Source organism: Homo sapiens, chromosome 9 (genome assembly GCF_000001405.40).
Source record: "Homo sapiens chromosome 9, GRCh38.p14 Primary Assembly".
In the NCBI taxonomy this organism is placed as follows: domain Eukaryota; kingdom Metazoa; phylum Chordata; class Mammalia; order Primates; family Hominidae; genus Homo; species Homo sapiens.
The window spans coordinates 123,258,607-123,269,355 of NC_000009.12; the positions used below are offsets into that span (position 1 = coordinate 123,258,607).

General features: G+C 45.9%; 1 protein-coding gene across 9 annotated transcripts in view, besides 4 other annotated features; it reads right to left on the reverse strand.

Moving 5' to 3' along the window:
- STRBP (spermatid perinuclear RNA binding protein) overlaps positions 1–9,980 on the reverse strand; it is a 159,093-nt gene extending 149,113 nt beyond the window's left edge. For all 9 annotated transcript variants that reach the window (XR_007061327.1, XR_007061326.1, NR_033234.2 and 6 more), the window contains exon 1: positions 9,830–9,980. The gene's annotated coding sequence lies outside the window, so the exon portion shown is untranslated. The remainder of the gene's footprint in view (positions 1–9,829) is intronic.
- Positions 9,706–9,755: a silencer, noted in NCBI's record as "silent region_20247". NCBI's record gives its function as "represses an Ori minimal core promoter by ATAC-STARR-seq in GM12878 lymphoblastoid cells {active_cell/tissue: GM12878}" and the evidence as "EXISTENCE:reporter gene assay evidence [ECO:0000049][PMID:35858748]".
- Positions 9,806–10,306: an enhancer, noted in NCBI's record as "H3K27ac hESC enhancer chr9:126030691-126031191 (GRCh37/hg19 assembly coordinates)". NCBI's record gives its function as "activates a minimal SCP1, AML or CMV promoter by ChIP-STARR-seq in naive H9 embryonic stem cells {active_cell/tissue: H9 hESC(naive)}" and the evidence as "EXISTENCE:reporter gene assay evidence [ECO:0000049][PMID:30033119]".
- Positions 9,806–10,405: a biological region, named in NCBI's record as "H3K27ac hESC enhancer GRCh37_chr9:126030691-126031191".
- Positions 9,926–10,405: a silencer, noted in NCBI's record as "silent region_20248". NCBI's record gives its function as "represses an Ori minimal core promoter by ATAC-STARR-seq in GM12878 lymphoblastoid cells {active_cell/tissue: GM12878}" and the evidence as "EXISTENCE:reporter gene assay evidence [ECO:0000049][PMID:35858748]".

The following is a 10,749-nucleotide window of genomic DNA, read 5'->3' on the forward strand; positions in this document are numbered from 1 at the left end:
TCCTGGCTAACACAGTGAAACCCTGTCTCTATTAAAAATACAAAAAAATTAGCCAGGCATGGTGGCGGGCGCCTGTCGTCCCAGCTACTCAGGAGGCTGAGGCAGAATGGTGTGAACCCCGGAGGCAGAGCTTGCAGTGAGCCAAGATCGGGCCACTGCACTCCAGCCTGGGTGACAGAGCGAGACTCCGTCTCAAAAAAAAAAAAAAAAAAAGAATCCGTAAGAAGACCATTGTGGCCAGAATGGAGTAAGCAAAAAGAAGAGTAAGAGATGATGAGGTCAGACAGCAAAGAAGGCATTCGATCACAGAAGGACTTGATAGGACTTTGTGTTTTACTCTGAGCAAGATGGGCAATCACTAGAGGGTTTTGACCAGAGAAGACAAAATCTGACTTATCTTTTTTAAAGGATCATTCTTGTTACTGTATTAAGAATAGACTATAAGGAGGAAAGGGCAAAAAAAAAAAAAGGGGGGGGGATTACTGCAATAATTTGGAGAAGGTAATGTAGGCTTATGCCAGTGCAAGTGATGAGAAGTGGTCAGATTCTGGATATATTTTAAACAGAGCTGCTAAGATTTCCTAAGGGATCAGATGTAATGGGTGAGAAGAGTCAAGAATGTCTCCAGGTTTTGACCTGAGAAAATGGAAAGATGAAGCTGCTATTTACTGAGATATGGAAGATTATAAAAGGGACACGGGGAAGAGGAGACAGGGTAAGTTCAATTTGAAATAAGGATAGAAGATATAAGAGATGTCAGGTAGGCAGTAGCATACACAAGCCTGGAGTTCCAGGCTAGAGATAAAAATTTGAGAGTCAGCCAGGCGCAATGGCTCACGCCTGTAATCCCAGCACTTTGGGAGGCCGAGGCGGGTGGATCACCTGAGGTCCGGAGTTCGAGACCAGCCTGACCAACATGGAGAAACCCCGTCTCTACTAAAAAATACAAAAAATTAGCTGGGCGTGGTGGCGCATGCCTGTAATCCCAGATACTGAGGAGGCTGAGGCAGGAGAATTGCTTGAACCCGGGCAGCAGAGGTTGCGGTAAGCCGAGATCACGCCATTGCACTCCAGCCTGGGCAACAAGAGTGAAACTCTGTCTCACAAAACAACAACAACAACAACAACAACAACAGAGATCCCACGAGGCAGTCCAATATTAAGAGGTAGGTGTAATAAGGAAGAACCAAAAAAGAGACTATGAAGCCAAGTAGGTAGAAAAACCAGCAATCTGGTATCCTAGAAACCAAAGCAGAAAGTGTTTCACAAAAGGAAGCACCTATTTGTGCCAAACACAGCTAATAGGTCAAATAAGAAATAAACTTCGTAGTCTTGACAGGTACAGTTTTCAGTAGAGTGGTGGGGTTAAAAATCTCACTAGAGTGGTTTCCGGAGAGAACATGAGAACTAAAGATGAACAGAAGAAACTTTTTCAAGAAGTTTTGCTGTAAAGGGGAGCAGAGAAATTGGGTAGCAGCTAAAAAAGGCACTGTGGTCAAGAAATGGTTGTTTAAAAAAAATAGATGAAATATAGTATGTGTGTGCCAACTGGAATGAGCCAGTAGACAGGGGAATAATGATGTTGCAGGAGAGAGAGAGACATCATTTCAGCTGTTAATAGAATTTCACTAGAAGAGTCAAATAACCCAATGAAGAAAAATTTCACTAGGCTAGTGGGCAATAATTCCAGAGTACTGTTACTCTTTGTGATACTAAAGAAGGGAGGAAAGCAGCCCATAATTCTAATTCACATGTCACAGGAGGCTCAGAAGAGAGGCTGGACCACTTGCCAAGAACCTTTGTGTTAAGATATTTTACATGTTATTTCATTTAAGCACAAAATAACTTCATGAGGCATTATCTTTATGTTACAGATAAGGAACCAGAAGCTCAGAGAGAGTAAATAATATGCTTAACTCACAAAGCTGGTAAGTACTTTCTAAGAGGTATGTTTTAAATCCACGTCCTTCTGTGCAGAAGATAAGGAATTATTGTTAATTTAGGGGGTTAAAATAATGTTGTGGTTACGTGGTTTTTTTGGTTCTTATCAGTCAGAAATATATACTGAAGTATTTATGGATCAAAGTATATGATGTCTAAGATTGACTGTAAATTCCCTACCAAAAAAAAAGTAAAATGCAATTGTGAGTGAGGGCTGAGCAGCAAAATGCTGATAATTGGTGAAGCTGATTGATGGCTATATGGAAATTTACTGTACTGTTTCCACTCATATACATCTGAAATGTCCATGATGAAAAATGAAAAATAAAAATCCAGGTCCTTTTGAGTCTATCACTTCAAAGCCTGCCCTTAATTTCTGCTCACTTCCAAAAAAAGAAAATATGCTTTATAGCTTCCAAACAATTTTCTTATCTTCTTTAATCTTCAATATAACTCTGTAAATTAGGAGTATTATTCCTATTTCAGACTTAAGGAGAGAGATCTACAACTAGTAAATAGGATCAGATCTCATAGCTAAATCTTATAGTACCAATAACGTTCTTCTAATACAGCAATTAAGGTTGCACACCAGGCACTGTGTGCATACCCATACTCCACCCAGTGCCAGTACTTTTTCTCAGATTCATTACTATCTCATAATCCTGGGACTCTGAGCTTCCTGGGAGGACTAAGCATTATCCCATTCAGTCCATGAAAAGACTTGTGTACTCAACAGCTTGATTAAAAGAGGCAGATTTCAAATTTGCTCAGCCATCAATCTTCCTTGCCAAATTCAGAAACTAACATGAATTTGATATACAACTTCTCAGTGATCTGACAGTCTGCCAATCTCTGCTCTAAAGTGAACTCCTTGTGCCTCCATTTCCCTAAATGTAATATTCCATTGTTCACCTACATTATACAGCCATCACAGGGACCAAAGTTCAGGTATATGAACTCTGAGCTCTAGAAATAAAGGAACAATAATACTGACCAACTTCAAAAGTCAATGTTGTATAGTTCTAAAACATTTACCACAAAACTGGCAGAACAAAAAAATCACAGTTAGTACTTATTTTTAAGATACCGTATTTTTAAAAGCTTCATCACGATGTTTGCTATCTGTTCTTCTATGCTAACCCTGGCATTATAAGCTCATTCACAGCTTACTTCAAAAACAACCGAAAATATTCACACCAAAGTCTTGAGATTTTATTCTCTCCAGCTTTTAATCATCAAAACTGCAACACTTTTCCCCTCTAGTTCACTATCTTTGTGAGTTATTCAGAATTATTTAACTCAAGAGTTACCCAGTATCCAAAACTTCATTAGGTTAAAATTTAGGTTGCCTAAGCTATACAGAAGCCTATGATTAGATGCAATGTTTAATGAGTTTCAGATTTACTTGAACTATAAACATCTTAAAAATGAACTGCCTCCATCTTAACTTTTACAAACCAACCACTTATTTATTAGATCACTACCTAGCTGTCTTAAATTGTACTTATTTCCATTTAGGCTGACTAAACATAAGTAACCAGTTACAAACTCCATTTTCATATTAAGGGCCAATATATCTAGAGAAGGATCTATTCTTTACTCAAACCAGTATTATTGAAGCATACTAAGAAATCTTAGGTCTGGTACAAAACACACCTTTGAGCCTAAATGTCAATTTATGCTTGCTGAATTAACTGGCAAAACGGGCTTAATAATGGCATACTAAAACAAGCATGGTAAGAAAAAAATAGAGACAGAGCCCTTTAGGACAATTACTAGTCACTATATGTCAACAGCACTATATTGGTTAAATTAAAATCATAAACAAAATGCTGATCTGCCCAATAGGATATTGTGAAAAATCCTGGCACCTGGAAAACTGCAAAGAACAGGAAATTCTGCAGGTGCAGTAAGAAACATCTTACCCATGACCCAGAAATGCCTCAGAATTTATTACACAACCTGCTGCAGAATTCTCACTTTTCAAGTGGAAATGAACCATGAAGTCACACAATGCAAGGCTGTGATTTTATTATTGATGTAATCAACTGTACCCTTTCAAGTTATGCTAAAGTTAACTAAAGAAAGCAGATGTTTTACACAGCGCTAGTTATGTCAGAAGTTAAGAGAATCTGAATACCAAATAAAATTTAGGACTGCTTCATTCAGCCACATGCACATGTGGAGAGTCTGTTGTGAGGCAGGCACTATACTTCTCAAATAGGATGCACTTAATGGACCCTTAGGACAAGAAATAATTCAAATTAGACATGAAAATTACAAATCAGGTCACTTGGTCACCTCACTATTCAATGCAAGAACTAAAAGCTATATTAAAGATTAACACAACTTTCAGGCTCAAATCACCTAATTATCTACATCACCATTAATCTGGCCTTATTTACTTTACTTCTATTTTAACTGACACATACATTAAACTTACATCTCTCAATAAAGTTTTCTAAAATTAGACTCGATTCACTAGCCTCTTAGAATTACTAGTCAGAAACAGTTTCTGTAGCTAAACGAATTTTGAAAAACAACCAATCTTCCAATAAAAGGACCTATGCAAAACAAATGAAAACAGAAAAGCAGTAAAATGGGTAACAGTGTCCAAACATGTTACCTAAGAGAGTAAACTATTAGAGTAGATCACGTAGCAAAGAAAGATCACTATCGGAGCTGGGTATCACCAAGCTCAAGGCAAATTAATGTGTAATAAAGCAACCTATGCTGAGACAGGAGGATCGCTTGAGCCCAGAAGTCCAAGATCAGCCTGGGCAACACAGCAAGACCTTGAGACCTGGTCTCTACTAAAAGTAAAAAAAATAGCCAGATGTGGTGGCACATGCCTGTAGTCCCAGCTACTCGAGATGCTAAGGCGGGAGGATCACTTGAGCTCTGGAGTTCAAGGTTACAATGAGCTATGATCACACCACCACACTCCAGCCTGGGCCACAGAGCAAGACCCTGTCTCAAAAAAAAAAAAAAAAAAAAAAGGCAATTTGCTATTTACATTTTTGCTGTGTCAATCATGACCAACACCTGGAAGGCTCTTTACAACTTGTAAACCAAACACAACATTAAGAAAGCATTTAAAAATCATTCCCCCTCAAATAGAGCATTACCTGTCAAAGCATACGGAAATACCAAATGATGGGTAATTATTTGATAACTAAAACTTGAAAAAGGAAGGAGTATTCAGTAAATCAGAACAAGGAAGCTTGACGTCACTAGCAGAAGGGATAGCTCTATTTTTCTATTCCAGTCACTCAGTCAGTAATCAATTTTCTGCAAAATACATAGGAAAATGTATTATGTTTATTATTTCTGATATAAGAATTGAATTTGGCTGGGCGCGATGGCTCACGCCTGTAATCCCAGCACTTTGGGAGGCCGAGGCGGGTGGATCACAAGGTCAAGAGATCGAGACCGTCCTGGCCAACATGGTGAAACCCCGCCTCTACTAAAAATACAAAAAATTAGCTGGGCGTGGTGGCGGGCACCTGTAGTCCTAGCTACTCGGGAGGCTGGGGCAGGAGAATCACTTGAACCCGGGAGGCGGAGTTTGCAGTGAGCCGAGATTGTGCTACTGCACTCCAGCCTGGCGACAGAGCGCCACTGCATTCCCCACCCCCAAAAAAAGAATTGAATTCACTGAGCCAAAGAAGGCCTCTGTCTCTGGAAATTCCTGCTTAGAAACAATCTTGGGCTATAGCTAGAACCCAATGTCTCTCACAAGCTTCTGCTCAGGCTGAAGAATTCAAACCAGCACTAACACTTAGCTGAGAAATTGGAAAGGTAAGCAGACAGCAAAGAATGAACAAACTTCAATTTGCAGACATCTCTTTCACATAAGTTTCATCTCTATCCAACTTTCACACAACAAATTAATCCACCTAATGGTAAATTACGAAGTACTAACATTTGACCAGTCTAAAAACCACAGGGGAGAAAAAAGAAACTAAGTAACATCTATCCCCGTATTTACGTAGCTCCAGTCTTCCCGAAAGACTTAAACTTGTTTTATATAAACCACCTTGATTCTCATGGGAGATGGATAGAGTCAGATTTCTAGAGAAGAAACCAGCACAAAGGGATTAAATATCTTGTCCAGCAAGTCACCAGCGAAAATAAAACCAGAACCCAATTATTCAGCCTACAAAGCCTAAATAACCTGCTTTCCTTGGTTCGTAAACTTAGGATATCTAAAGTGCCTACAAATTGTCCCAATTCATAGAATTTCACTGAACAATACATATAATCCGAACACTATACCAGAATTGAGTATTCTGAGCAAGAAAGTAGTGCGCACCCCAAGTCAATAAAATGAACACAATGGACTTAAGAAATATAAGGAGGAAACAATGGCTATGTTGGAGAGAACTTTCAAAGCTCACTCTATTCATCTTATATCCTACTGCTCAAATTCTCTGCCAAAAAGCAAATGAGGTCAGACATGCTCCCTATATTATATTGTATACATATATCAAATCTCAAAATACTCAGAGTTTCAATCGAAGGGACATTATACTCTAAAAATCTTTCCCTCCAAAAATAAAATCTTACAGTAATGCCTTCAGAGCATTCTTTTGCTGCCATGACACACTTCAAATTTGGATTTTACGAATCATTTGCTTCCAGGTTTTTTTTTTAATATTTATATTAACGGATTCCGATTACTTAAAATTTGGTGTTCTGCTCCGCCCTCATTATGTTTAGGCAAGATTCCCACTTCCACTCAAACTTATTATTCGAACATACAATGGCTGCATTAAGATACTTCCTAAATCGACAAAAGAAGAAAACTAATCAACCCAGAAAGCTCCCAAGCTACCAAAGCGAACCTTTTATTTGAAATCATACTAGGTACCACACTACACATTACGTGAAGCCCACAGAGTGATAATTGAAGTTATTTCTGCAACATGATGAAATTTATTTCTTAGCAAAATCTGACAAGACTTAATTTTCAACTGTCAAAAGGGAAATCGTTTTCCAAGATTCTAGGAAACCTTGCTTACTGAAGCAGTCTCAAAGTAGTTTGCTTAATCCTTTCAAACCCCTAAGAATCTAACACAAGCCACAGAACAGTGAATGAGACTTGCACTGAAATAAATGTCTGTGTTCAAACCCCTAAAGGTTACTTCCCATGTGTTTGGCAAGCTGAAGGCCATATGTCCGCCCAACCCATAAGTGTCTTTCCTCAATAAAGCTAACATTACACTTCCCAACTCAAATCAAAATACCAGAGAATCCAAAAGCCTCCAACTAAATTTTACCTGAACCATTTGGGAGAAAAAGTCAACAATCCAGATCAGTTATTCACGCCTTGAAAGAGTGTTAAGAGTCAGAAAGCTCCAATTCTGCCACTTTTAGGAGCTAGGTGTACATTACTTCTGTCTGCCTATAGCATGGGACTCAGATATTACATCACCCCATGCTGCCTGAATACTGACCCATTACCCAGAAAGCACCAGGGTATCTGAGACACTGCACCAAGGTATCCCTTTCTTCCTCTCTTATGCATAGCCCTTGAATGCTACTGGCCACTGGGCCTGGTCTCTTCCAGTTTCACAAAGACATCTGCCCTGCACCTGCTGCAATCCCATTTCCATTCACTCTTGGTGCGCTCCTCGTGACCCTGTGTGGCCCTTCTGTCCACTCGTCAAACCAATATGCTAGGATGATACCCACTACACACCTCTCCCAAATTTGGGGATGTGCACTCAGCTCTCCCTTACCCCTTCCCCCTTCCTCATTTACTGGGTTCTGGAATTAAAAGCAGGCTCAACGATCTCTCTGACCCTAGGAGTATGAACTTTCAGATATGACACTGAGTTTAATGTCCTCCACTTTCCATTAACATCATTCCAGGATCCAGGTCCCCCCACCCCTCAATCTCCAGTTTCTCTCAGTATGGAATTTAATCCTCTCCATTTAGTTATTTTTCCAACTTCTGCACTCTGCCTGATCTTCCTTAGACTCTCAGTGACCTAAAAATCTTGGCCCCTTTCATCTCTCAAACTCAAAGTGTTCCAATCTCTCCCCATACTTCCACTCCTTGGATCTTCCATACTCTCTTAAGCAACCTGTGTTCCTAGCTCTCTCCAACTTAAGCAGTCATTTCCTGCCCTAAACCTGGGCATCCTATTTCCCCCACCACCACCACCACCACTCCAATCCATCACCTATGCCTTTCTAGTTACAGACATGTCCACATACACCTCTGCCTTGCCCTTCCCTTACTCCACTATAGGTATTAAGCATTCTTCTACATCCTCTACCCCAAAATAGCCTGTCTACCTTCCTTCTTTCTCCCTACCTCCCTTCTCCCTACAGCACAAAATTCAGTGCCCCAAACCTGTGCTTCCCTCCCTCCACCTACTGTACTCCAGACCTGTCCACCTTCCCCTCCAGTCTATCCCGTTGTCCCCCTCTACTGATTTCGTTCTCACCCTCCCCTCCACCTTCCTCCTCCCCAACCGCTCCACACTTCCCGCCTCAGAAATCTTTCCTTCCATTTGTCCCCACACTTTACCTGCCACTCCAAGAACACTTCCCTTTCCCCACCCCCTTTTGCCCTCCACCTCACACACTCCACGCCACCCCACACCTGTCCCTCTCCCCCAGCTCCTGCCCCTAACGTCCTCCAACACTTGCCAAGAACCCCTCACCCTCCGTCCTACCTCAAAATTCCCTCTCTTGCTGATCCCACCTTCTTCCATACTTCCTGCATAAACACCCTCCATTTCACGCACTTCTCCCGCTATCCTTTAAATGCCCCACACACCTCCTGCTCTCCATCCCCATCACCCTTCTCCTACTGTCCCCACCTCTCTCTGCAAGCCCTCAAACTAAGTCTCTGCCCCAATGAACTTCCCCCTTCCACCCCATACTCCTCTTCCCTGAGCACCAGATACCTGCCTTTTTATCCTTACATGTCAACCCCCTCCCGCCTCCCTGCAGGCTCCCCTATACACCTGGCCACACACTCCCTCACACCCCTCGCAGGTCTCCTGGAGCCCCTGGGCCTACCCTTCATTTCCCTATCACCCCAGAAGCCTAGGCACCCTGCTCCCCTCCCTCCCTTTCAGGCGCTCCCTGCCTGCCCTCACTTCCCCCTGCCCCGACCCCCTCCTCCATCGTTCCCCTTCACGGGCGTCCCGGTGGCCTTCCTAATACCCGCCCCACTCCCTGCCCCTGGCACGCAGCGCTCCTTCCAGTCCTGCTCGAGTCCCCAGTCTTCTCCCTCCATTCCCACCCCACTCGTCCCTGCCCTCCCCAAAAGCCCCCTCATTCCCTCTTGAACCCCACAATATAGTGCCCCCCCCCACCGGACGGAATGTCCTCCATCTCGCACTCGCCTGGCCCAGGGGGCCCCCCAAACCTGCCTGAAGGCTCTCCTCCTCCATTGGGCCGGATCCCTCTGCACCCCTATTTACCCCCAAATCTGCCCACACCTTCCGCCTGCCCCCCGAAGCCTCTCCCCAGCTCCTGCCCCCAATGTCCTCCAACACCTGCCCCGAGCCCCGAGCCCTCCGTCCCGGAAGACCTCCCGGCACCGCGTCCCCCAACCCTGCCCACGCCCTCCCCTGATCGGCCGGGACCCCGTCCCCGCGAAGGTGAGGAAGGCTGCCCGCTGCCCTTGCCCGAAGCGGCCGGGGCACCGCAGCGGCGGCGGCGGCGGCCACAATGCCGGAGCCGCGGGGCCGGGATTGCTCCCTGCTCTCCGCCTCGGCCGCCACCGCCGCCGCCGCTGCTAAGGACGCACAACAAACAATGCGGGGCCCGGGCCGGCTCCGCCAACCGCCTCAACCGCCGCCTTAACCGCCGCCCGCCCGGGACGGCCCGCCGCGCAGGCGCCCGCCCCGCCGCCGGAGCCTACCCGCGCCGCCGCGCTCTGCCCGCGCCCGGTACCCGCTCCCGCTCCGCCGCCGCCGCCACCTCGCCCGCTCGCGTCTCCGGCTCCTCTGCCCAGCGGCGGCGGCTGCGGCGGCTGCTGCCCTGGTGGCGCTCGCGGCTCCGGTCTCCGCTTCGGCGGCGGCAGCGGCGGCAGCGAGCACGTGACACCGTCGAGCGCGCCCATTGGCCAGGCCAGGGGGCGGGCCCCGCGGCTGCTGGGGAACGGAAAGCCCGCCCCCTCGTTCGCCGCGCGCCCCCTCCACGCGCGTCCTGCCGCACCTGAGAGCGCCGGCCAGCGCCCGCCGCCGCCTTGCTGTGCCGCCGCCTGCGCCAAGTGCGCACCTGGGAGCGCGCAGGGAGCACTCGCCGCCGGCGGCCTTATGCACCTGCCAGCGGACGCTTACGTAAACTGCGTCCCCGCCTTCCTCCCGGCCCCAGGCCCCCGCTCGCTGCAGCACCTGAGCCCCGCTGCGCTAGCGGCGTAACTGCGGCGGAGCGGAGACGAGCTGCGCTGGGAGGCTAGCGAAATGCACGGAAACTTCGTAACTTCCGAACCTGGGAGCTGCGCCGAGCCGCGGCGGCTAGCCGCCTTCCCCGGGCCCCGCACCCCAGTGCGGGATGCCCCCCAACCCCAGCAGCCACACAAATGGAGTAGGCGTCGCACTGCCTCCCGAGGTAGAGGGGCAGGCCAGTAGGCTTTGACTTGTGCCACCGCCCACCTACTTGCTGGCTGTGTGACCTTGGCCAAGTTACCAAGAACCGTTCTGAGCCTCAGTTTCCTCATCAGGAAAACTGGGACAATAATTCCAATTTAGGAGCTGTTGGGGAGATGGCATAAGACAATAGGTGTGAATCCTGGCACACAGCAGTCGCTGAACAGAAGCTGCTACAATCACCTCTCCT